The sequence below is a fragment of the Homo sapiens genome, chromosome 15 (genome assembly GCF_000001405.40).
Source record: "Homo sapiens chromosome 15, GRCh38.p14 Primary Assembly".
NCBI classification, from domain to species: domain Eukaryota; kingdom Metazoa; phylum Chordata; class Mammalia; order Primates; family Hominidae; genus Homo; species Homo sapiens.
In genome coordinates this window covers 58,574,894-58,601,902 of record NC_000015.10, presented here as the reverse complement: position 1 = coordinate 58,601,902, position 27,009 = coordinate 58,574,894, and the positions used below count along the sequence as shown (strand labels likewise).

The window sequence follows — 27,009 nt, the reverse complement described above, 5'->3', positions numbered from 1 at the left end:
TTCTTACCAAAGATGTGTGACCTGAATTTGATCACAAAGAAACACCAGAGGAACCCAAATTGAAGGACATTCCCATGCAAAATAACTGCCCTGTAATCTTCAAAAGTATCAAGGTCATAAAAGCCAAGGAAACACTGGAATTTTTCCAAATCAAAGGAGAGAAAAGAAACATGGTGGCTAAATATAGCACACGATTCTGAACTGGATAGTATTGGGACAAATGGCAAAACCTGAATGGGGTCTGAGGATTAAATGTTAGTAATGTATCAGCCCTGATTTCCTGATTTTGATGATTGTCTTGTTATCTAGGAAACCACCCTTATATTGTAGAAATTATATGCTAAAATGTTCAAGAGTAACAGCATGGTGCTAGCAACTTACTCTGAGGTGCTTCCAGATTTTTAAAAGTTTTTCTTTTTTGTTTTTGTTTGTTTGTTTATTTGAGGTGGAGTCTCACTCTGTTGCCCAGGCTGGAGTGCAGTGGCACAATCTCGGCTCACTGTAACCTCTGCCTCCCTGGTTCAAGCGATTCTCCCCCCTCAGCCTCCTTAATAGTGGAATTACAGGCACCCACCATCATTCCTGGCTAATTTTTGTATTTTTAGTAGAGACGGGGTTTCACCATGTGGGCCTGGCTAGTCTCGAACTCCTGACCTCAGGTGATCCACCCGCCCCGGCCTCCCAAAGTGCTGGGAGCCACCTGGGAGCCACCGTGCCCGGCCTCAGGTTTTTAAAAGGTACTTGGAACTTTTGAATTGTACTTGCAACTTTTCTTTAAGTTTGAGACTCTTTCAAAATAAAACAAATGTTTAGAAAGTAGGAAAGGCTTTGTGTACACAAAGAAAAAGTGGCTTGGGATATTTTGCTACAACATGCCTTTTAATTTTAGCATTACTCTCATTAATGCTAAAATTAGCATTAGTATTACTTTAATTATATAAACACTGCTGGAAAAACTAAACAGTGTAGAAGTAGTACCCAGTTTGTTGTAAGTCCCTAAGTCATAGACAGTCTTCTTAAATGGGAGTTTTGCTGGAAACTATTAGTAGTAATTATATATGTTACAGTAACCTGTGTTAAATAAATGTAAAGGTTCAGTTTTGAAGCTGTAAATATTTTGTATGATGTTTATTAGTACATGTGGTCTTAAAACAAAGTTTGAATATTTGGAATTGCAAAATATAATTTAAGACTAGACACAGTAATTTTCCTATAAATTTATCAATAATTTTTGAAGGTTTTTCTGTTTGGCTAATTGATTTGTTTAATATAGGTCAGGTTAAAATAGAAGTTTTGGTTTCTTCTAAGACGGGATGAACTTTGCCTGCTGCTAAAATATGTATCTTCTTCCACTTTTCATATTTAAAAAGATAGCCTATAAACTAATGAATACAATAAAGATATTATATATAATGTAATGAAAACTAATGTATATAAAAAGTAATTTCATAACTAGTCCGAGTCTCAAATTCCAAATGAAATAAAAGAGGAAAAGGGTGTCTCAAAGAGATAGAATTTCAGTCTTAACTTTGATAATTAGAAAGCAATGTAGGTTAAAGAGTAATTTTTAAATCTATTCACTAGTAGAATTTAAAGCAAGTTACATGCTTTCTAAGCCATGGAAAGTATAAACGCAATCAAAACATAGTCTATAAGAGTAAGAGGAGATCCTTTTGTAGTTCATAAGTGTGATGATTGGGTTTGCACACTCATATGTGAGATGTGCCTTCCTCAAACCTTGTTAGGGCATTGGCACATTATCCATTTGAGGGAGAAAAAAGAGTAAGGGGAAAAAACAAAGGCAATATTTAAACCAGAAAATATTTAATAACATGGGAAAATGCAATATAACTATATGCAAGATGACCCCAGTTTTGTATTTGTGTTCATGTGTATGACAAATGTTGTTATATGTAAAGAGACTAAAAAAAATCAGATTGAGCGGTTTCCTCTATGAGATGAAATTATGGGTGATTTCCATTTTCTCCTTTAAACTTTTTTTTATATTTAAATAATATATATGTGCAAATATCTAACATATGTATACAACTCCTAAACAAATGTTCTTTAAAAATTACAATATACTGTGTTCTATTCTATGTTTTATATACTGTAAAAGATACTCTAAAATATTTTGTAGTTTTTTTTTTTTCAGTGGAAAAATCTGTTTATTTCTAGGCTCATTGGTGGGCAGTATTACTTATGGGAATTGCTCTGATCATGCTAATGGCTGGATTTATTAAGATATGCAGTGTTCATACTCCAAGTAGTAATCCAAAGTTGCCTCCTCCTAAACCACTTCCAGGTAAGAATATTTGAGCAAGATACATATTTATGTAACTCAGAATTGTTTAGCAGGTAGAATTGAATTATAAATGAGTCTGTAGTAACTAATGTTACAGTACTTTCTCCGTAAGAATGGGATTATTGGATGAATGATTTAGTTGATATTTGTGTGCTTTTTGTCAATCCAATCTGGCCAGTGACTGCTAAGTTAATGCTAATTTATCTGAGTGTCTGAAAATATTTAGAACTAGAAATTTTAAATTTTGCTTGGTATTTGTTTTCTTGTTTTTTTTTTTTTAAATATATTCTAACATATTCCCTTGCCATGATTATGGTGAACTACTTTAAAATTGTTGATCTTTCTATTCTAATAGTTGTGCTTCTCATATTGTTGTCCTTCATTCCTCCTTCCTTCCCTTCCATCTTCCCTCCCTCCCGCCCTCCCTTCCTTCTTTTTCTTTTTTCTTTCTCTCACTGTGTTGCCCAGGCTGGACTTACTCCTGAGCTCAAGCAATCCTCCCCACTTTAGCCTCCTAAGTAGCTGGGACTATAGGCGCGTGCACTGCACCCAGCTCTCTTATCGTTTTTAGTGTTTGTGCTCTTGAAATATTTTCTGGCACATAAGCTTATTTTCCCCCAGGGTGATGCTTGTGGGGACATACAGATCCCAGTCTGTGGGAAAGTCTTAGAGTAGAGGATTCATTCATCAAATAAGCACAGTCAAGTATTCTCCATTCCTGAAAACAACTCTTTAGTTCTGGTCTCCACCTTTTACCTCTCAGGGAGACATAGCATGAGGAAGAACCCTCTTTAGATGAGCTGTGGGCATTGGAAGGAGAAAAGGACAGGAAATAAACCCTTCGTATTGTTTAGTTCCCTCTGTTTATCCCTCCCCTTCTCCAAGGTATTCGTAGCTATTCTCTACAGGTGTGAGGACAGACATTGTCTCAGGGCAGCAGCAGGGGAGAGCCAGAACTAAATGACAGCAGTTCCCTCTCCTGCCGCTCTCAGACTTCTCATAAGATGTCTTGCCTCAGGCAAATCCACTACCTTATACAAAGTAGTTCAAAACTAGGTTTCTTACACTTTTTCTCTGTTTTCCCTCAGTTGTTCACCTGCATTTACCTGTCTGGGGCAAGATGGCCCAGTAGTCATGCTAGGACAGTATCTTAGTGAGAGTTAGAGGAAATTTGATTTTTATATCATTGCTTTTCTTAAGTTCACAATGTTAGTTAGCACTCTGGAACTTATGTTAGTATTTAAGGAAGTTCTAAGGGCCACATGACACTTTTTAGATGCTGTTACCAATTGTGGTCTTATTCAGTGAAACATTTTATGTGTATGTTGGTTTCATTTTAAGTGAATAGCACCTTTAAAAACTTAGAAAACTAGCTGTCATTTATTGAACCCTCACAAAAAGTGTTAAACATTTTTATATGAATTATATAATCTTTACAACAGGCTATATACGTTAATTATCATCCTTGTTTTACAGTGTAGGCATCTGAGTCTCAGGTTAAGGCATTTGCTCAAAGACACTTAGTAATTCCCTCATATGGATTCTGTCCAGAATCTGTGATATTAATCTGGATTAATCTAATACTTGTGGCTGCTGAGCACTGAATTGTTGCTAGTTTCCATTGAAATGTGCTGTTTTAATTAACATACATACCAGACTTTGAAGATTTAGTATAAAAAAAGAAATATTTTGTTAGTAATTTTTGTATTGATTATATATTGAAATGATAACACTTTGGCTATATTAATTTAAATAAAATAAAAAATATTATTAAAATTATTTCACCTTTTAAACCTTTTTTATTGTGGCTATCAGAAGATTTTAAATTACATTGATGGCCCATATTATTGGACAGCACTGAACTAAAACCTTTCTTATTGAAACAGCAGCTTTGCTTTTAAAGATTAAAAAGCTCATGATAAATAAATCTGCTTTGCTTTTATTTGTGGCTCACAGGCACTTTAAAGAGGAGGAGACCTCCACAGCCCATTCAGCAACCCCAGCGTCAGCGGCCCCGAGAGAGTTATCAAATGGGACACATGAGACGCTAACTGCAGCTTTTGCCTTGGTTCTTCCTAGTGCCTACAATGGGAAAACTTCACTCCAAAGAGAAACCTATTAAGTCATCATCTCCAAACTAAACCCTCACAAGTAACAGTTGAAGAAAAAATGGCAAGAGATCATATCCTCAGACCAGGTGGAATTACTTAAATTTTAAAGCCTGAAAATTCCAATTTGGGGGTGGGAGGTGGAAAAGGAACCCAATTTTCTTATGAACAGATATTTTTAACTTAATGGCACAAAGTCTTAGAATATTATTATGTGCCCCGTGTTCCCTGTTCTTCGTTGCTGCATTTTCTTCACTTGCAGGCAAACTTGGCTCTCAATAAACTTTTACCACAAATTGAAATAAATATATTTTTTTCAACTGCCAATCAAGGCTAGGAGGCTCGACCACCTCAACATTGGAGACATCACTTGCCAATGTACATACCTTGTTATATGCAGACATGTATTTCTTACGTACACTGTACTTCTGTGTGCAATTGTAAACAGAAATTGCAATATGGATGTTTCTTTGTATTATAAAATTTTTCCGCTCTTAATTAAAAATTACTGTTTAATTGACATACTCAGGATAACAGAGAATGGTGGTATTCAGTGGTCCAGGATTCTGTAATGCTTTACACAGGCAGTTTTGAAATGAAAATCAATTTACCTTTCTGTTACGATGGAGTTGGTTTTGATACTCATTTTTTCTTTATCACATGGCTGCTACGGGCACAAGTGACTATACTGAAGAACACAGTTAAGTGTTGTGCAAACTGGACATAGCAGCACATACTACTTCAGAGTTCATGATGTAGATGTCTGGTTTCTGCTTACGTCTTTTAAACTTTCTAATTCAATTCCATTTTTCAATTAATAGGTGAAATTTTATTCATGCTTTGATAGAAATTATGTCAATGAAATGATTCTTTTTATTTGTAGCCTACTTATTTGTGTTTTTCATATATCTGAAATATGCTAATTATGTTTTCTGTCTGATATGGAAAAGAAAAGCTGTGTCTTTATCAAAATATTTAAACGGTTTTTTCAGCATATCATCACTGATCATTGGTAACCACTAAAGATGAGTAATTTGCTTAAGTAGTAGTTAAAATTGTAGATAGGCCTTCTGACATTTTTTTTCCTAAAATTTTTAACAGCATTGAAGGTGAAACAGCACAATGTCCCATTCCAAATTTATTTTTGAAACAGATGTAAATAATTGGCATTTTAAAGAGAAAGCAAAAACATTTAATGTATTAACAGGCTTATTGCTATGCAGGAAATAGAAGGGGCATTACAAAAATTGAAGCTTGTGACATATTTATTGCTTCTGTTTTCCAACTACATCACTTCAACTAGAAGTAAAGCTATGATTTTCCTGACTTCACATAGGAGGCAAATTTAGAGAAAGTTGTAAAGATTTCTATGTTTTGGGTTTTTTTTTTTCCTTTTTTTTTTTAAGAGTATAAGGTTTACACAATCATTCTCATAATGTGACGCAAGCCAGCAAGGCCAAAAATGCTAGAGAAAATAACGGGATCTCTTCCTTGTAAACTTGTACAGTATGTGGTGACTTTTTCAAAATACAGCTTTTTGTACATGATTTAGAGACAAATTTTGTACATGAAACCCCAGATAGACTATAAATAATTCTAAACAAACAAGTAGGTAGATATGTATGTAATTGCTTTTAAATCATTTAAATGCCTTTGTTTTTGGACTGTGCAAAGGTTGGAAGTGGGTTTGCATTTCTAAAATGGTGACTTTTATTCTGCAAGAGTTCTTAGTAACTTCTTGAGTGTGGTAGACTTTGGAACATGTAAATTTTTTGCTTGTAATGTTATCCTGTGGTAGGATTTTGGCAGGTACACACACTGCCCTATTTTATTTTGAGTCTAAGTTAAATGTTTTCTGAAAAGAGATACATGCACTGAACTCTTTCCACTGCGAATCAAGATGTGGTAATATAAAAGGATCAAGACAAATGAGATCTAATACTACTGTCAGTTTTAATGTCCACTGTGTTTTATACAGTATCTTTTTTTGTTCACTTTGGAAATTTTTACTAAAAATTGCAAAAAATAAAGTATTGTGCAAAGATGTAAGGTTTTTTGAAACTTGAAATGCATTAATAAATAGACGATTAAATCAACTTGAAGGTTCTATACTCTTTGAACTCTGAGAACTATCACAAGAAGCTTCCCACAAGGCAGTGTTTTCTTACAGTTGTCTCTTCCTACAAAAGTATAGATTATCTTTATTCTTAATACTTTGGAATCCATGTAGAAAATTTCCAGTTAGATACTCTGCGTACACACAATAAACCTTTTTAAAACACCCAACTAATCTCAACTGCATTACATTGTTTCTAATCAATATTCAGTGCTTGTCTTGGTGGAAGAGGTGAGTCATTTTGAAAACTTATGGTCTTGTTTTTATGTGTTTTTCAAAGTTTTGAATGCTAAGTACCTCATTTATTTTAAAAAGCCTAGTTTAATGATAAGTTTGTTTAAAATTTTGAGCCATCATTTTTCTCTTCATAGCAAATAAGGAGAGAATTGACATTTCAGTGTTACCTAGAAAAGGAATTGTAAGCCCAGAATAATTCCCTGCATGAGGTAATCTGCTTCAAATTCTTTTTTTAGTCAAGGTTAGCTATAAGTAATACTTGTTAAATGAGTAAATATGTAATACTTTGTGAATTACTTTGTTAATTTAGGAGCATCAAATGTATATTATGTTTAGTTATTTATGAAACTCTCAATATTGATTGATTTGGGTAATTATAAATTAGTTATTTTTACTTGTAATTGAATGCTTAAATTCTGTTTACAGTCCGTCCTCTCTCCCTCCATCCCTCCCTCCCCAGTTTTATAAATTCAGGTACCAATTCACAAACAAAATCAGAAATAAAATAAATTTATTGACTGCTTCTGGATTTAGCATTCCCTGTAGTGTCAAGCAATGTCATGCAGTTTGGGGAAGCATTTATTTAAGGAAATGACAACTTTCTCTGATCAGTCTTGTTTTGTGAGGTGTCTTCAACACTTTATGCTTTGGGTACTTCGTGTTTGTCACAGTCTTAGGATAGTGAAATCTGATTTGTCCAAGCGGAGCAAACTACTCGACCCTCAGTCCTTGTATTTGTCCCTGTAGTAAGACCTAATTATTATTATTTCTTAAAGATGGGATTGGTGTCCTTGGCAACTATGAAATTTCGGGGCTTGTGCATGAGAAGGCATTTCTTATTAAGTATTTCTAATTGAAGGTATCAGAGTGTCAAGCATTACAAACCTGGACAGTTCACCTGGAGGAGTACAAGAAGAGATATTCATTATCCATATTTAAAGGGTCAAGGTTTCCCAAAACCAGGGTGCAAGCCAGATGTAGTTTTAAAGCAGCTGCCAGGGACAGTTCATCTTTAGAGAAGTCACTAAAGTTGTAAGAAATTTTAGTTTCCCCAAAACCACTTTCAACTTCTTAGAAACTAGAAAGACAATTGGTTTGCCCCACAGAGGACAACTTCAGTTTCAGCATCTCTCATGTTGTGTTCTTGATTAAAAACAACTTCCATTTGATATACTTTTCCGTTTATTACCAGTTTAGTTTTTTCACTATTGTTTCTGTATTCAACTCTTTATATGATTAGGATAGAAATTTAGCCCTTCTGTTTTATATTACTATATTGTTTGTGTGTCTTAGATATATACATGTATGTACTATTTTCAGTAGAAATTCATGTATTTTATAATTGGTAAGTTCTTCAGAGCATCTCTTCTATAAAAAGCAACAGGATGCTAGGTAAAACGGAGCATTGAGCAAAATACTGATTAGTTTTTGCTTTTTCCTGAAATCTACACTAAAGTGATAGGGTGTGGGGTAATCCAACAAGGACAAGGTGAATTGAACAAGAACGAAATCTGGAAGCAGATGAAGGAGTACTATTGATTGGGCAGACCCAGGGAAGTCAAATCCTAAACCAGCAGTGGGAACACAACAGAATGGTGTAGTTTGCACTGGTAAGATTTGGGTACCTGGCAGGGCTGGGTGCGGTGGCTCACACCTGTAATCCCAGCACTTTGGGAGGCCAAGGCGGGTGGATCACTTGAGGTCAGGAGTTCGAGACCACCCTGGCCAACATGGTGAAACCCCGTCTCTACTAAAAATACAGCTGGGCGTGGTGGCACATGCTTGTAATCCCAGCTACTCGGGAGGCAGAGGCAGGAGATTTGCTTGAACCCGGGAGGCAGAGGCAGGAGATTTGCTTGAACCCAGGAGGCAGAGGCTGCAGTGAGCCGCGATTGCGCCATTGCACTCCAGCCTGGGTGACAGAGCGAGACTCTGTCTCAAAAAAAAAAAAAAAAAAAAAAAAAAAAAAAAAAAAAAAAAAAAAAAATTTGAGTACCTGGCCTTTGTTACTTTTTTTCTATGTGTGTGACAAAAACATAATATGCACACTTTTGTAACCCACCTTTCTCATTTAATGGTACATTGATAATGTATATCACATTAACTACTCTAAATATTTCTGTGGATGTATGTTTTTTTTTTTCTTAACCAATTTCCCATTGTTTGGACATGTAGGTTCCACATTGTTTATTATTTTAAACAATTCTAAAGAATTTTAAACAATTCTTAGGAAAATCCTCAGCCTAATAATGAAATTAATTCCTAAAAGTGGAATTGTTGGGGTAAAGGTTTTTTGAGGGACATTGATAAAAATTATGGTACTGTCTCCCAGATAGATGTACCAAGTTATACTACCACGATTTAATATATATATATATATATATTAAATCAGAGTCCCATCCTTAGAAATCCACATATATGCAGCCACATGAATGTATTAGAAACAATAATAGAAGACTCATGCTTAATTCAGTTGATTAGCTTTAGACATAATTCAAATGCAAGTCAAATTGAGTGCCCTAATTGTGGTCTCTTAAGTACCATTTTTCTTCAAGGGAACCAGACTCCTTTGGATAAATCACTAATTCCACCTGTAAGAAAGAAATGTACAAGAAGAACCTAGGAAACATTGTTTTGTACCAGATCAGAAAGATTCAGGAGGCACCTTAGAAGTTACCACTGGCCAAGGCTGAGATAACTTTAGCATCAGCAAGGATAATATCTGCAAGAGATTGAAACTCATAGTATTGTATTTAACTCTGTGAGTTAATGATGGTAGTGGACAGAATTATAGTTACCTTTGGGATACGCTTTTAAAGAAATTCCAGGTAATAAGAGAAATGATAGAATTAGGATATCACCATTTTACCCCCCCAACAATTTATGGATCTAGACAATAATCGCCAGTGACTGCTAACCTCACAAAGTGAGAGCAATCAGATTTTGTGCCTCCTAATGGAAGTACATATACCACCTATGAAGCAGTTCTGCCAAAAGTCACATCTCATCATGATGAAGCCTCCTGATCTAACTACCCCTTCATTAGAAATACAGGGGACAGAGGGACAAATAATATACAAGGGACTCAATCAGCAAAATCCAGACTCTGGAAAACTACAAGACATATGGTCCTGCTTCAACAACAGAAATGCAAAGAGAAAAGACAACGATGGGTTAAAGGAGACTTAAGAGCTACATCTATCAAGACAATTTATGGACTTATTTGGATACTGATTTGAACAAACTGTTGAGACCATTGGAAAAATGTGAAAAGTGGATATTTGATATTAAGGTTTTTAATTATTTTTAGGTGTGATAATGGTATTGTTACATTTTTTAAAGGACCCCTTTTAGAGATGCAAATTGAAACACTTAAAAAATGAAATGATACGATGTATAAGTTTTTGCTTAAAAATAAGGATTGAAGTTGGCTGGTGTGTGTGGATATAGTTGAAACAAGATTGGCTGTGAGTTGATAATTATTGAAGCTGGGTGATGGGCACTTGGGGATTTATTATACTATTTTCTCTACCTGTGTTTATATTTGAAATTTTTCATAGAAGTTTTAAAATGTGGCCAGTTGTGATGGCTCATACCTGTAATCCCAACACTTTGGGAGGCCAAGGTGGGAGGATCACTTGAGCTCAGGAGTTAGAGACCAGCCTGGGCAAAATAGTGAGACTCCATCTCAAAGAAAAAAAAAAAGTGTTTTAAATGTGAATCAAATTCCTATAGAAGCTGATTCATTACTGTTTTTATTTTAGCAGTAATTCATGATAATGACCTGTATTCATAATGATTTTCATAATGATTGTTTTAGTGGAATTAAACTTGAACCAGTCAAGCTAACATAATTATATTCTGCTCCAGTTACAATGAATAATTAATTGATTTCAACTGCTAGGGTGAACTCTTGAAGCTATCAGTCATCCAGCAATCTTAGCAAGCAGGCCATTGGGTCCCTGTTTGCTCTGTCTCTCTCTCTCTCTCTCACTGTTGAAGGGCTTAGCTAACTACTTAAGTAAAATATTTGTTCTCTGTTAAACATGTCAAGGAGTATGGTCAGCTTATCCACATTAAGCCTGTGTGTCCCACGTTGGAGTAAATGTTAAGTAGCTCACTACAATAAACTAGATTCTTCTGCCCTCTCTTGTTTAAATGATCATGTTCCCTGGAGGTGGAAATAGATCTTTAAAAAGATATTCTGTAGTTGTTTGTTCTCAGTGTAAAAAAATGAGAATAATTTGATAAGAGTGTAGGTTGTCTTATATAAAAAGTGGTTCCATTTGCATGAATTTTAGAAAAATCATTTTGGAAAAATGAAGGCTATGTGGTTATACTGAACACATTAAGCAATTTTATTCTTTATTTTAAATGAATATTTTATTATCGTTTTCTTCCCTTGCCCTTTGGGTATGGGAGTTAGCCTTTGTGTTTCTAAATACAACAGGCCGGTTTTTATAAATTAAGGTGTCAATATATTCTTCATTATTTAGTTTTGTGATTGTGGTTAGTTTTCATTTTTCTTAAGTATCTGCTAGTAGCATCTGTAATTAAGTGAAGTGACCTGTTAACCATTTTCCTCTTTCTCCTCCTTTCCTCCTCCTTGAAACATATCAGAGCATGTTTGAAATTCTTTGGCTTTTATGGTATGCATTTGCTGATATGCATTGACCAGTTACCTTACTCACAGATACTTCTTAGGCACTTGATTGTGCCAGGGCCTTGGCTAGATGATAAGAATACAGTAGTGAACTTAACAGTTTCCCTGCCCTGGTGAAGCGTATGGTCTTGTAGGTGAGATAGATATCAGATAATCATGTGAATAAATGTACAATTCCAGCTGTGATACATGCTGAGGAGGAGGTTTTTGGTGATCCAAGAGCTGATCATGCAGAGATAGGACTGAGAAAGGAGGGTGGGACGTTGTCACAGCTGATAATGCAGAGATAGGACTGAGAAAGGAGGGTGGGACATCAGGAAGGTCAGAGAATTCCTTATGAAAGTGATGCTTGAGTCAAAATATGATGGATGAAGAGAGTTTAAATAGATTACATAGAATTTTTAATAATGTCGATTGGTTATATACTGGGCACTGATAGCTGATTTTTCTTTGGGGAAAGGTATGTCAGCCTAGTCATTCAGATTCCTTTATTTTTTTAAATGTTTTTTCATTTTTTGCTTTGCATTGCATTCATTTGCTGAAGAGCTGGCTTGTACTTTGGCAGGTGTCATACTTGGTTATTCTCCTTAGGATATTGGCCCAACAATCTGGGAGTTGTGAAAGGCGCTTCGCTTTTCAGACCTGGGCGTCTGTATCATGACTATCATAAATTTAGGATTAAGACACCTAGCCTCCTACCAGGATGAATGAGGTGTCCATGTGACCTGCTGTGCCCTGGAATTTTATACATCTTTCTCTCATAGCACACACCATATTACAATATAATCCTGCCTCATCTAAGCCAAACTTTCGAGAGAATCATTTACACTCAGTGGCTACTTCAGCTCCCATTCACTTATCAACCTGCTGCAATTTTTCACAGCCCCCAAAGGACTGCAGTCTGTGCCTTCAGGGAGCTGAGGGTCTAGCGGAAGGAAAGAAACCAGCAGTTACAGTACAGAGGGGTTTGTGTTGGAAACTCTACAAACACAGGATGCCCTGGTAGCTCAGAGGAAGTGCATATCGAGCATGGTAGGTAGGTAGTGGGAAGAGCCAAGATGACTTCCCAGAGGAGAAAAGCTGGACCTGAGTTTTGGAGTTTCGGTAAAAGTTTGCTCTAACTAGTCCAAGCTGCTGTCACAAGCTTTTAGAAATGATGTAACCATGGGGCAGTTGACTGTCGTCATGTTCTTTGCTATTTTCATGACTCTGGATGTGCTTTTCCTATTCCCTGGATTGCCCTTTCCCTCGATTCCTCTGCAGGACTGGGCTTTATTAATCTCCATTTCCTTGAGCTTGGCTATAGTAGGTGTTCAATAAACATTTGTTTTGTTGTGTGCTTTGTAAATAGGCAATGAAGCTGATTTCACAAGATAGGCACAAAAGTTAGTTTCATTACAACACATTACCAACAGCTGTATTTTTAACTTTTAACATATCTCATTCTAAATCCTGTGGCAGCACAACCTCCTTCCGTCATACCTGGAGATAAATTTTCTTTCAAAATCTAATATGCACTGTATTTATAGAATATGAAACATACCGACCATGTTTTGCAAAAATGGGAAAGGCATAACTTAGCTTTGGGGCATGTAAGTAACAACTCCTGATAGGAGAAGAAATGTATTCAGAAAGCTCAAATTAGAAATAAAATGGGAGACTCTAGATTTGTGTTTGTGGATGAATGTTTTCTTTAGCTAAATCATTGATGTAATGTTTATTTGGCTATTTCATAGTGAAAGGTGGAAGTTAAACGTTTTGAAGGTATTTTCCTGCAGTAAACTTCCAGATTAACATTTTCTGTTTTTTCACAGAAATCTAGTATTTTTTTTTTTTTTTTAATAACAGGTTTTTAGACAAATATTCAGGAAAAAACAGGAGGTATAAATTCCAGGGTCAAATGGAAATGCAGAGTTACACGGGTTTTTATTTTGTTCTGTTGATTGATTTTTTAAAAAATGAGGTATTTCTGAGAGCCTCTAGTATGCTAGCACTGATTGTGATCTGTAAAAGCATCTTATAATATGCAGTGCTCCCAAACTAGTAAACTCTTCTGCTGTTTTCTCCCCTAAAGAGTCTTGAGTTCTGCAGAACACGCTGGGTGTTACTTCTTGGATAGCTGGTACTGTAGTGTGCCCTGCTGGGGACAGGTTCTCCTTACCTAAGGAATTCTCACTGGGCTGGGACTTCCACATCTGTTATGACACTTGGCACTGACAATGGGGTTGCAGAGGTTCTCAGGACAGGCTGGTTAGCCTACTCCCTCACCCTTACAAGCAACTCTGCTCTCTGTGGCACTCATCAGAATTGCTTTGCACAGTGGTCTCCAACTTTTTTTTTTTTTTTTTGAAATAGGTTTTCTGTAGACCAGGCTGGAGTGCAGTGGCACCATCATAGCCCACTGGAGCCTACACCCTCTGGGCTCAAGCAAACCTCCCACAGTTGGGATTACAGGCACATGCCACCACGCCCAGCTAAAATTAAAAAAATTTGTAGAAACGGGTGTCTTGCTGTTTTGCCCAGGCTGATCTCAAACTCCTGGCCTCAAGTGATCCTCCCACCTTGGCCTCCCAAAGGGCATGAACCATCGCATCCAGCTTGTCTCCAAGTTTTTTGATCTTGTATCTTACACTTAAAAATCTTGAGTACACACTCCTAATATGGAAATATGTATAAATAATATGACTGTGTTACTGCACTATGATGATGTTTTAAAGTATGCCACAATTTTGAGGGATAAGAGAAAAATGAACGGAGATCATATTTCTTCCCACATTCCAGTAGGCATTTTGCACTCCCTACTGTGTACACAATCCACTTTGTAAGCCTCTGGCTTTTGAGATAGAGTCTACTTACAAGCCAACTAGCTGTCGCCCTCCCTTCGTTCCTGGGTTAAGTTTGCTTTCCAGTGAAACACTCTGCAACCATTGAAGAATGCAGGCTACCTGCAGGTATTTGCTTCTAAAGAAGTCCAAGAAGTACTAAGTGGAAGAAGCAAGTATTAATATATATGTATGGTCTGATTTCTTGTGTGAAAATTTTTTACATTTGTAAAAATGTATAATTTATTCAGAGAAAATCTCTAGATTGATACATTAAAAGCTGTTAAGTTATTTCTGAGCACTGGGATTAAGGGCCTTGGGAGAGTAAGAAGATTTTTATTTTTTACTTCACTCTTCTGCACTGCTTGAATTTTTAATGAACCGGATTCTTTTCGTAATAAATAATTTTTAAAATCACTAAATATATTAGGATGTCAACTATGTTACAATGCATTGCCAATGTTGATTGTTGAAGTTGGGTGATGGGCATGTTGGGTTTCATTGTATTCTTCTCTACTTTTATGTGTATTTGAATATTTCCATAATAAAAACTTTAAATAAAAAATGCGCTGCAAAAGAGTCTATAGAAATACACTACACAGTTAACGTGGTTATCTTAAGGGTGGGAGGACAGAAGAAGGGTTGAATAGAACTTCAGATACCTTCTGCCTCAAATGTTTTATAATGGGAAAACCACTGATACACACACACACACACACACACACACACACACACTCACTGCAGAGCCACCAATGCAAAGAGTTTCATATGTAGAAGGGAGTAGAAAATACTTACTTGATTTCCTAGATAAATGTTAGTTCCTAGGGAAATCTACAAAATAAATGTGTAAGTCGAGTGTTTCATATGTAAGGCTTGGCTGTTCCATATTAAGATTTTTTTTTTTTTTTTTTTTTTTGAGACAAAGTCTCACTCTTTTGTCCAAGCTGGAGTGCAGTGGTGTGATCTCAGCTCACTGCAACCTTCACCTCCTGGGTTCAACCGATTTTCCTGCCTCAGCCTCCCAAGTAGCTGGGACTACAGGCCTGCACCACCATGCCCGGCTAATTTTTGTATTTTTAGTAGAGACGGGGGTTTCACTATCTTGGCCAGGCTGGTCTTGAACTCCTGACCTTGTGATCCACCTGCCTGGGCCTTCCAAAGTGCTGGGATTACAGGCGTGAGACACTGTGCCCGGCCCCATATTAAGATCTTAAGGCTTGTTTTATAAAAAGGATTCCTGGGCATGTTGTATAATCAAAGGTGAAACTCCACAGCATAGCCACATGCCTCTGCACAGTCTCAGCGGCAGCAGGGAGGGCACAGCTAGTGGTCTGCCATGAATGATTTGCACTTATAGCTGGTTACCAAGCTCCATAACATGAAAAGACAGTGTCTTAAAGTACAATACCTAATTATAGCTCTCACATGGGGTCCAAGGGAGTTAATATGTAAAGGACATTTTCTGTTGCTGACTGCAATGGTAGGCTGCATTCATGGACACAGAATCTATAAAGAGGGAAATGATGGTCCATTAGCCGTGTGACCTTGTAAAAGCTAAGCTGTAGGTACCTCATCTGTGAAACAGGGATAATAGTTTTAGCCACCTCAGGGGACTATGATGTGGATTAAAGGAGAATGTATGTAAGGCACCTTGCATATGGTGAACACTCGAATGTCAACTGTTCTGGTTTTCATGTGAAAAACTGCTTACTGAACTGGAACATTTAGCTTGCGAGCAGGTGTCCCCTGATTTTAAGTATCTTCTCCTCTAACAGACATGTGGTTAGGGTCCTTGGTCTGTGGTTAATCTCATTACCCTTGCCAAGTTTAGGAATGGTCATGTCACCTAATTTTGGCCAGTGAGATAAGAGGGCTGTCTCCCGCATGATGTCTACTGTTCCTTCTCTGGATGTTACCATGCCTGAGTGAGCTGCCTGCAGTTGCAGTGGGCAACTTGGTAACAGCCTGAGGATGAAGCCAACATCAAGGATGGTGGAGCAGAGAGAAGGAAAAACACTGCATCTTCATAACATTACCAAGCAGCCCAGTCAGCTCTTCCTGAGGCCCCACTCTACCTTGGAACTTCCTTTTGTGTGAGATTTAAAAACAAAACAAAACCAACCAAACAAAAAACCCTCTTTATTTAAGCCAGTTTGAGTTAGCTTCCAAAGGCATCATGATTGATTGAACCTGCACCAGACAGGATTTGAGGTAGGGGTGGTAGCATGTATTCAGTGATGTTTATTAAGCACTTTAGAATGCAAAAATAAAGACATCAAGAAGTTCCGAGACATGAGGAACTGGGGGTTCTGGAATGATAGCAGCTTGAACTTTTTTCTACTTGCAGTTTAACCCATTTGCCTCTCCTGAGAAAAGCAGCTGCTGGGGCTTGCCGGGGGAAGATAAGGCCTGGGATGTGAATGAGGCTTCGGGCCACAGCAGAATCCTGTCAGAGAGCTGGGGCAAGATTGTCTTCCTGCCTGGGAACCATATCATAAGCCTAAGGAGGGGATCCGGGGCAAGGTCCTCGTGAATGTGTGGGTCTCCCTGCTTCTTGAAGAGCTGACCAGATGGGTTGAGTTGCCTTCACTGCTATGAAGGTGTCTGAGAGAGGTGAGGAGACTAGAAAGGGGGCAGAGAGGCTTCCTTCAAGTCCCTTGCCAGAGGACTGGCAACCCACATGCTGCTAAGCTTGAGCCTGGGAGGCTGATACTGCTGTTCCTTCTATCAGGCTGCGAATGCTGTCTCTTAAGGTACCTCAGTATCTGGAACAGAGCCCCAGTGATCAAACAAAGGAAAAGAAGATTCCTAATGGAGTCCAGTAGCCAGGGAGAATTACAAGCAGAACCCTCAGTACAGAAATAGCTGCTGACATAGATAACTTGAACCAAAGAATAAGAAAAGGAGACATAAGTGCAGCACAATAAAACTGATTCTCTGGAACCAAAAAAGGATGATTTTGAACCAGAGCTTTCAAGAGATAAATCGAAGGAGAAAGTGGTCACTGTTGATGTCTGAATTAGTGTCAGAGAAAGACATCTGAAAGCACAGAGCAAGATTACAAGGAGATAGTAAAAATCCAGAACGGAGGTGAAGGATGTAACAGAAGAGAGATGTGAGCGAAAATATTTAAAAGGTTTCTGAGATGAAGAGAGAGACTGGCCTCTCAGAGTTCTAGGAGCTGGGCGTGGTGGGTCATGCCTATAATCCCAGCATGTGGGGGAGGCAAAAATGGGAGGATAGCTTGAGGCCAGGAGTTTGAGACCAGCCTGGATAACAAAGTGAGATCCTGCCTCTGAAAAATAAAAACAACAACATAAAAGAGAGTTCCAGGAAGGAATGATGATCAGAAGACACGCTTCTAGGCATATTGTATCTCTGAGCTACAAGAGTAGAGAACAATCTTAAAAGTCTCTACAGGGAAGAACAAGTTACTCCTAAAGAAGAAAGAGTCATCCTGGCAATGGACTGCTTACTTACAACACTGGAAGTGACAATATGGAAAACTGCCAACCACGGAGGGAAAAGGACTATACGGAAATCAACCTAGGCAGACCTGCAGCTTGGCTCTCCAGTATCTTCAGTCCGCTCTTAAAAAAGTATCCAAGAATATGTTATCAGTTCCTTTTGCTTGGTGATAAAATAAACTGTCAAAGTCTCCAGTAGAGTTGGGAAGGATCAGAATATAAAATCTTAGAATAATAGTAAAGGGGATCATCACCCAAGTCAAAATGTATTACCAGCTCCTGGACACTAAAGCCCACAGAAGCTCATCCCTCGGATTGTGAATGTTACTGGGTCCTCCACTCTGTAAAAGTCTATTCTTTTCCTGAGTTGATCACATCACCATCTGCCTTGACGACTCTTCTAAAAACAGTCTGGTGCTAAAAATAATAAGTGAATCTCAGCAAATCTGGGCATCGGAGGTGGGTGGGAAGGAGGGAAATGTTCCAAAGTTCTCATCTGGGTAGTAGCTGTGCAACTGGTAGGGGAAGTGAAAGTATTCTAAAGTTTGGAATGGGGAGTGGAAGCAGTGGACAAACAGTATTTGGTGGGAGAAGTATGTGTCTGGTTTTATATAATGGTAAAGAAATATGTATCTGATTATGAGCAACAGGAAAGGGAAACTAGCTGGAAGTAGAATGAAAATCTACAAGAAAAGTTGTATCAACAAGATGGAAAGGGGAACTATCAATTTGATCAATCTGCAAAAATAAGAGTACATAAAAGGAGAAAATAATTAGTAAAGTAAGGCAATAAATAAGATAGTAAGAGTCCAATCATTTCACTAAATGTAAATGGAATAGATTTTCTTATTAGAAGTCAGAGACACTTAGATTGAGTTAAAAATATAAATAAGCCAGCTATACTTTATCTAGAAGAAAAATATCTAAAATTTTTAAAGAAACAAAGTATAAAGAAAAGTTGAAAATAAAGAAATGAACAAAGATATCAAGAAAATATTGTGAAAAAGAAAATAGGATTAGCAAAATTAATTGTCAGACAAGGAGGAATTAAAGATTGGGGGCACTAAAGGAGGAATGTTATCTAACAATGTAAGGCACATTTTGTGAGGCAGAATTAACATTAGTAAACTTATGTGTACCAAACAATGTAAATACAAATATAATTTGATCAAAATAGAGATTTTAAAACACTTTTAAGAATCACATCTAATATACAAAAAAAGGCTATAGAAGAATAATACAGTCAACACACTTAGTTTAATAGATATATGATCTTAAATTTCTCAAGTAAAACATAGAATTTTTTCACATATCCAACAGAATGTTATAAAAATTGACTATGTACTTGATCACAAAGAAAGGCTTAGCAAATACAGAAATGAGAGATTTTTGTAGCCACATTCAATAAAACTAGAAATAAATAATTTAAAAGTGATCAGAATAGCCTATTTATAAATTGAAGAATACTTCCTGGGTAATCTTTGGAGCAAAGAGCAATATAAAGCTAATACTAAAAAACTACAGTGAAAAGAAGGCTTTATATTAAAATCTGTATATTACAGCCTTACATACTATTATCATTAAAGAACAATGACTAAAAATAAAAGTACTAGTTGCTTTTCTATGGAACAAGTTCCATGGAAAGAATAAAATAAAGCAAAAGAAAATATGAAGAAGGAATTAATATAAACAGAACTGGAACTACAGAGAGGCAAGTGAGGTGCCTAGGGCACAAAATTTAAGAAAATAAGGTTGTGCAAGTGCCAGCCCTGGCACCCAGGCACCCCACTCCGTAGGAAGCACCCGATTTCACACATGGGTTAAGGGAGCAGCTGGCACTTGTACAGTATCGCTTCCTTGAATTGTGTGACCTATGTGCCTTGCTTCTCTCACCCTAGTTCTGGCTGACTATAAAAGTAAAAGCTTCCCTCCTGGGGAGAAAAAAAGAATTTTCTTCTTTTTTTTCTTCCTCTTCTCCCTCCTCTTCCTCCTCCTCCTCCTCCTTTCTTCCTCTTCCCCTTCTTTCTTCTTCCTTCCTTCCTTTTCCTCTTCCTTCTCTCCCTCCTCTTCTTTTTTTTTTAAATTAACAAAACTCATAGTAACCTAGATGTAATTTATACTTACTGTGGTCTTTGAATTTTACTACTTTTATCCCAGCCTAGAAGATAGTGGAGCCAAAAGAGGTCTTACAAAAACAACTTACTGTTACCCACTAAATGTTTGTTTTTAGCAACTCATTTTTTAAAAAGTGCATTAGATCTCTTACCTTGTTTTATATTCCTAAATCAATTAGCCTATTTTATGGGCCCACACATGTCATTGTATGTCATTAATGAAAAACATAAATAGTAATAAGACTATCTGTACATCTTATTTCATTTAGAATGTCAGGGTTGGCCGGGTGCAGTGGCTCATGCCTGTAATCCCAATACTTTGGGAGGCTGAAGTGGGAGGATCATTTGAGATCAGGAGTTTGAGACCAGCCTGGGCAACATGGCAAAACTCGGTCTCTACTGAAAATACAAAAATTAGGCCAGGTGCAGTGGCTCACGCCTGTAATCCTAGCACTTTGGGAGGCCGAGGTGGGTGGATCACCTGAGGTCGGGAGTTTGAGACCAGCCTGACCAACATGGAGAAACTCCATCTCTACTAAAAATACAAAATGAGCTGTGCGTGGTGGCACATGCCTGTAATCCCAGCTACTCTGGAGGCTGAGGCAGGAGAATCACTTGAACCCGGGAGGCGGAGGTTTCAGTGAGCCGAGATTGCGCCATCGCACTCCAGCCTGGGCAACAAGAGAGAAACTCTGTCTCAAAAAAAAAAAAAAAGAAAAGAAAAAAGAAAAAAAAAAGAAAATACAAAAATTAGCCAGGCATGGTGGTGCGCACTTGCAGTCCCAGCTACTGGGGAGGCTGAGGCAGGAGAACTGCTTGAACCTAGGAGGCAGAGGTTGCAGTGAGCCGAGATCACGCCATTGCAATCCAGCCTGGGCGACAGAGCTAGACTCCAAGAAAAAAGAAAATGAATGTCAGGGTATAAGGTAGAAAACAGACAAACGTGGGCTATTTTGTGATCATCAACCAGTCAGGGAATGAACCTACCAATTACCCAAGAATTGAACAAACTTAAAGTTATTCTAAATGTGCTTTCTAAACGGATACCATTTAAGTATGCTCTTAAGGAGAATATTACTAGAAATTAGGAGGAATATTATCATTGTCCAACATAGTTTCTCTTGACAGTTAACTATTTAGCTTTTCAGTTTTTTCCCTTTTGTGGATTATGTCTAGATTTAATGTTGGATAGAACACTATGTAGCATTTCTGTAGTTTATCTTGTTTTCTGTGATAAATGCGTCCATTGATTCAACTACCCTAGGAAGAATTATTAGAATTTCAGAGTTTACTTTTGGATTTTTTGTCTGTGCTTTAAGGTTATGTCTTCATTTACTCATTATTATGCTCTTATATAACTTTGTGCCTCTCTTGCTTGAAGATATTTCACAAAAATAATTTTAATAAATGTTATATGCAAAAGGCAAGTACAAGCTGAAAATCTAAGAATATTACATGCAAAAGCACAAGGACCAGATGGTTTCACAGCTGAGTTTTAAAAAGATTTTTTAAAAAAAGATCATCACAATATTATCTAAACTATTCAAGGCCATAGATAAAAGCTGTAGAATATCAAAAGCATGAAATGATAGACCCCCTAAAAAAGGCGTGGATCAATTTCATGTATGAGGCCGGGCGAGGTGGCTCACGCCTGTAATCAGCACTTTGTGGGGCGGATCACTTGAGGCCAGGAGTTTGATACCAGCATGGCCAACATGGCAAAACCCCATCCCTACTAAAAATACAAAAATTAGCTGGGCCTTGTGGCTGGTGCCTGTAATCCCAGCTACTCAAGAGGCTGAGGCACAAGAATCGCTTGAACCCAGGAGGTGGAGGTTGCAATGAGCTAAGATTGTGCCACCGCACTGCAGCCTGGGTGACAGAGCAGGACTCTCCAAAAACAAAAACAAAAACAAAAATTTCACTTATGAAAATAAAGGCAAAATTCTAAATAAAATCAAGGAAAGTCCAGCAAAGTTATGAAAAAAAAAAAAAAATACATGGTAAGCAAGGAAGGTTTACTCCACGAATGCAAACACGGGCCGGGCGCGGTGGCTCACACCTATAATCCGAGCACTTTGAGAGGCCAAGGTGGGAGGATCACGAGGTCGAGAGATCGAGACCATCCTGGCCAACATGGTGAAACCCTGTCTCTACTAAAAATACAAAAATTAGCCGGGCGTGGTGGTGGGTGCCTGTAGTCCCAGCTACTTGGGTGGCTGAGGTAGGAGAATCACTTGAACCTGGGAGGCAGAGGTTTCAGTGAACAGAGATCGTGCCACTGCACTCCAGCCTGGGCAACAGGCAAGACTCTGTCTCAAAAAAAAAAAAAAAAAATGCAATGTGGCTCAATATCAGGAAGTCTATCAACATATTGTAATCTATGAATAAAGAAGGAAGAGGCCCAGCATAGTGGCTCATGGCTGTAATCCCAGCACTTTGGGAGGCCGAGGCAGGTGGATCACTTGAGGTCAACTTGGGTTGCCAGAAAGGTGAAAAAAAATGAAATAAACAATATAAACTGTGGTTGTTGGTGACGAAGTGGTTGTACAACGTAAAATTCTAGTATAAAAAAGAACAAATAGAATTAATATCATTAATTGGATAAGGTGGACAAATATAGAATAAACAACCAAAAGCTGTTCTTTATACTAGTAATAAGCCCTATGAGATAGAAATGGAATGGAATGAAGGGTTCCATCACACTCGTGACAAAAAATTAAAATACTTAGGAAAAAAAAAAAAACATGAACTTTTATTGAAGGATATGAAACAAGACCCAAACAAATGAAAAACATACAATGTCCCTCTGGATGACATAATAAAAAAGTTGGTTCTTTTTTTACTAATTTCTTTTTTTTTTTTTTGAGACAGAGTCTCGCTCTGTCGCCCAGGCTGGAGTGCAGGGGTGCAATCTCCGCTCAGTGCAAGCTCCACCTTCCGGGTTTACATCATTCTCCTGCCTCAGCCTCCCGAGTAGCTGGAACTACAGGCGCCCGCCACCACACCTGGCTAATTTTTTGTATTTTTAGTAGAGATGGGGTTTCTCCATGTTGGCCAGGATGGTCTCGATCTCCTGACCTCGTGATCCACTCGCCTCGGCCTCCCAAAGTGCTGGGATTACAAGTGTGAGCCACTGCACCTGGCATTTGTACTAATTTCTATATTTCATGTGCCACCCAATTAGAATATTTGATTTTTGGGAAATAGAGATTTTTGGGAAATTACTGTAAAGTCTGTATGAAAGACTAGATGCTTGCAATCAATTAAGTGTGATTACAATAGAAATAATGAGAAATAGAAATAAAGAGATCAATGCGGCAAAACAGAGGATTAAGAAATAGTTCACATGTACTTTAAATTTATGATACAAGTGGGATCTCAATTCAGCATGAAAAAGTTTAATAAATAACGTTGGCTCCACTTGTATCCATATAGAAGAAAATTAAGTTGTCATTCTATCTCACACTATATACAAAAATAAATCTCAGATGGATTAAGGCTTTTAAGGAACAAAACCAAAAATCTCAGAAGAAAATATTTATTTTCAACAATTTGCATTTCAATGGTGACTTCAAGTCAGAAATTCCATATAATAGAAATGTTAGATTTTTTTTGACCTAAAGGAAATTAAACTACTGTACAGCAAAGAATACTATAACTAAAATCAAGGCTGGGTGGGGTGGCTCTTGCCTGTAATCCCAGCACTTTGGGTGGCCGAGGTGGGCGGCTCACTAAAGGCCAGGAATTTGAGACCAGCCTGGGCAACATGGTGAAACCCCGTCTCCACCAAAAATACAAAAATTAGCCAGAGGTGGTGGTGCATGCCTGTAATCCCAGCTACTCGGGAGGCTGAGGCAGGAGAATAACCTTGAACCCGCGAGGTAGGTTGCAGTGAGCTGAGATCATGCCACTGCACTCCAGCCTGGGAGATGGAGCAAGACTCTGTTTCAATAAAATAATAAAATAAAATAAAATAAAATAAAATAACCCGTAGCTAAAATCAATAGAGAAATTAACTTAGAAAGTTATTTGCAAAGAAGCTGAACAATAAAAGGTTACTATATGTCATAAAATATGTAGTTCTTACAAACTGGCAAGAAACAGAAGCGTTCTAAAAGAAAATGGGATTTGAACAATTAATTCACAGTAAAGCAAATTCAATAAACATATGCAAAGATTCTCAATCTCAGCAGTAGGCAGGGAAATGTAAAGTCACAATGAAGTCACAACTTGCACCCAGCAGACTAGCAAAAACTAAAATGAGCAATAAATATTTCTGCCTTGGAAAGAAGTAGGGAGTGGGAAATAGGTGTTCATACACTGCTGGTGGAAGTGCAAATTGTGATAATGTTTTAGGAAAGCAATGTGGCAACATCTATTCAATTTAAAAATATATATCATTTGACTTAAAAAATTCTACTACTATCCCAGCACTTTGGGAGGCCGAGGCGGGCGGATCACCTGAGGTCAGGAGTTCGAGACCAGCCTGACTAACATGGTGAAACTCCGTCTCTACTAAAAATATAAAAATACAAAAAAAAATTAGCCGGGTACGGTGGCGGTGCCTGTAGTCCCAGCTACTCGGGAGGCTAAGGCAGGAGAATCGCTTGAACCCGCGAGGTGGAGGTTGCAGTGAGCCGAGATCACGCCACTTCACTTCAGCCTGGGCAAAAGAGCGAGACTCCATCTCAAAAAAAAAAAAAAAAAAAAAAAAAAAAAAAAAAAAAAAAGGGCCGGGCACGGTGGCGGTGGCTTACGCCTGTAATCCCAGCACTTTGGGAGGCCGAGGTGGGTGGATCACGAGGTTAGGAGATGGAGACCATCCTGGCTAATATGGTGAAACCCCGTCTCTACTAAAAATAGAAAAAATTAGCCAAGCATGGTGGCATGCGTCTGTAGTCCCAGCTAATCGGGAGGCTGAGGCAGGAGAATCACTTCAACCTGGGAGGTGGAAGTTGCAGTGAGCCAAGATTGTACCACTGCACTCCAGCCTGGTGACAGAGCGAGACTCTGTCTCAAAAAAAAAAAAAAAAAATTATACTACTAGAAATATTTCCCACAAATAGGTATATGAGAATACATGTATAAGGATGTTAAATGCAGCACTTTTCAGAAAGGCAAAAAGCTGGAGAAAAGTGAAGGCACATCAGTATGAGACTGACAATAAATTAAGGTTCTGTCTACAATGGGGAATATTATGCAATCATCAAAAGTAGTGAGGCTGGGTACTGTGGCTCACACCTGTAATCCAAGCATTTTGTTTGAGGCCAGGAGTTTGAGGTTGCAGGGAGCTGTGATAGGGCCACTGATCTCCAGTCTGGACAACAGACTGGAGTTCTAAAAAATTAAGAAAAAAATTAAAAAATAATAAGATCTGTACCAATTGACCCAGAAATATTTCAGCTCATATTGTTGAGTAAGGAAATCAATTTGCTGAAAAGAATGTATAATTACATGTTTGTGAAACAGTAACAAGTCCCTTCTCTTTGGGGATGTCTGTATATGGTAGTATATATGACTATAGAAAAACTTCAGAATTACACTCCTGGTTATGAACATGGGTCAGGGGAGAGGGCATTGACCCAAGTAACAAGAGGAGGAAAAAGATTGCACTAACCCCTCCAGCATGTATACTTCTATTTATAAAAAAATATTGTATAATAGGCATACAGAAATTAGAAAAAAGGGCTGGGAGCAGTGGCTCACGCCTGTAATCCCAGCACTTTGGGAGGCTGAGGTGGGCGCATCACTTGCGGTCAGGAGTTTGAAACCAGCCTGGCCAACATGGTGAAACCCCATCTCTACTAAAAAATACAAAAATTAGCCTGGTGTGGTAGCAGGCGACTTAATCCCAGCTACTTGGGAGGCAGAGGCAGGAGAATCGTTTGAACCCAGGAGGCGGAGGTTGCAGTGAGCCGAGATCGAGCCATTGCACTCAAACCTGGGGGATAAGAGCGAGATTTCTCTCAAAAAAAAAAAAAAAAAAAAAAAAGGAAATTAGAAAAAAGATCCATATCTTTTAGCATGTAAGGATACGAATAAGTCACTAAGACAAAAAAAAAAAAAAAAAAAAAAAAAAAGAAGCAAAAACAGAAACAAAAAGCAAGCAAGTTGAGCAAGTTGTAGAGTAATATATATACGATGGTTCCACTTTGGTGAAAACAACAAGCAAACAAAAGCCTTGAGTGTGGATAAATGCTTGTCTATGTTCGAAGGAATAACGTTGCCAGGCTGTTACCAATCTTCACTTCGGGTCGCTGGGGTGGGGAAGAAGGTGGGTGCGGGGAGACGGATGACCAGCTTTCTCTTTACATATCTTTGCATTGTTGCACTGCTTTTATACTCTTATAAAATATCTTTAAAATGAGAAACCTAAAATAACCACATAACAAAACCTAAAAATACATTACAACTTCTGCCCTCAAGGGGCTCACAGTCTCCTGCAGACTGTCTTCAGATAGCTGATGTGTTTGATTTGCTCTCTATGGCTTCCAGGGAAGAAAGCGAGGGGAGAAGGTACGGCAAGGTAGGGGAAGCTCTTTCCCTGGCGGTGCTGGGCCACACCTGTGATATTCTCTTGAGAGGAAGGTGTTGGACTCCGTCAGTGTTGCCCCAGTTTTCTGAAGAGATGAATTAGCCCGGGTACTTGTTGAAAAGAAAAATCTTTAGGATCTGTCCTTGACCCGCTGAATTCGAATCTCCAGGGGAGGAGTCTGGGAAGCTTTATTTTTTAGTGCCCAGGTGATTCATATCATTGGGGAAAGTTGGGAAACACTGGTCTACATTCACGCTGCTCAGCGTGGCCTGGGAACCAGCCGCAATGGCATCGCCTGAGAGCTTGTTAGGAATGCCTGCTGTCAGGATGTGCCCCAGACCTACGGTGACAGAAATGCCAGTGAACAAGGTGCCTGTGCACAGAATGGGTTGAGAGGGATGTTGTAGATGACCCTTACAGTTATTCTCTAATTCTATCTTATTTGACAGGAAGATAGCTCCAAGACACTGGAAAATTCTTTTTGTGATAGACGTGTTTCAAAAGTAAAAATGTAGTCAAGGAACCCAAAGGGATTTTGATGAACTGATTGAGGCAGAAACTGAGCTAACGTAAGAGGAGGCCGGCAGGGCCAAGAGATGAGGGAGGGAGGAAGTCAACCGCCTCGCCAACCTGGCTTTG

General features: G+C 38.2%; 1 protein-coding gene and 1 non-coding gene across 3 annotated transcripts in view, besides 3 other annotated features; both read left to right on the top strand.

Annotated features, from left to right (window-relative positions):
* The window catches only part of ADAM10 (ADAM metallopeptidase domain 10), a 160,899-nt gene extending 147,805 nt beyond the window's left edge, over positions 1–13,094 (top strand). For both annotated transcript variants that reach the window (NM_001320570.2, NM_001110.4), the window contains 2 exons: positions 2,179–2,305; positions 4,262–13,094. In NM_001320570.2, coding sequence (NP_001307499.1) covers positions 2,179–2,305; positions 4,262–4,356 — 222 coding nt within the window. In that variant the 3' untranslated portion in view covers positions 4,357–13,094. The remainder of the gene's footprint in view (positions 1–2,178; positions 2,306–4,261) is intronic.
* On the top strand, positions 1,668–1,771 carry LOC124903600 (small nucleolar RNA U13). The gene has a single exon (XR_007064827.1). It is a non-coding gene; the product is annotated as a small nucleolar RNA U13 (small nucleolar RNA).
* Positions 15,729–15,958: an enhancer, noted in NCBI's record as "active region_9475". NCBI's record gives its function as "activates an Ori minimal core promoter by ATAC-STARR-seq in GM12878 lymphoblastoid cells {active_cell/tissue: GM12878}" and the evidence as "EXISTENCE:reporter gene assay evidence [ECO:0000049][PMID:35858748]".
* Positions 15,999–16,048: an enhancer, noted in NCBI's record as "active region_9474". NCBI's record gives its function as "activates an Ori minimal core promoter by ATAC-STARR-seq in GM12878 lymphoblastoid cells {active_cell/tissue: GM12878}" and the evidence as "EXISTENCE:reporter gene assay evidence [ECO:0000049][PMID:35858748]".
* Positions 16,359–16,438: an enhancer, noted in NCBI's record as "active region_9473". NCBI's record gives its function as "activates an Ori minimal core promoter by ATAC-STARR-seq in GM12878 lymphoblastoid cells {active_cell/tissue: GM12878}" and the evidence as "EXISTENCE:reporter gene assay evidence [ECO:0000049][PMID:35858748]".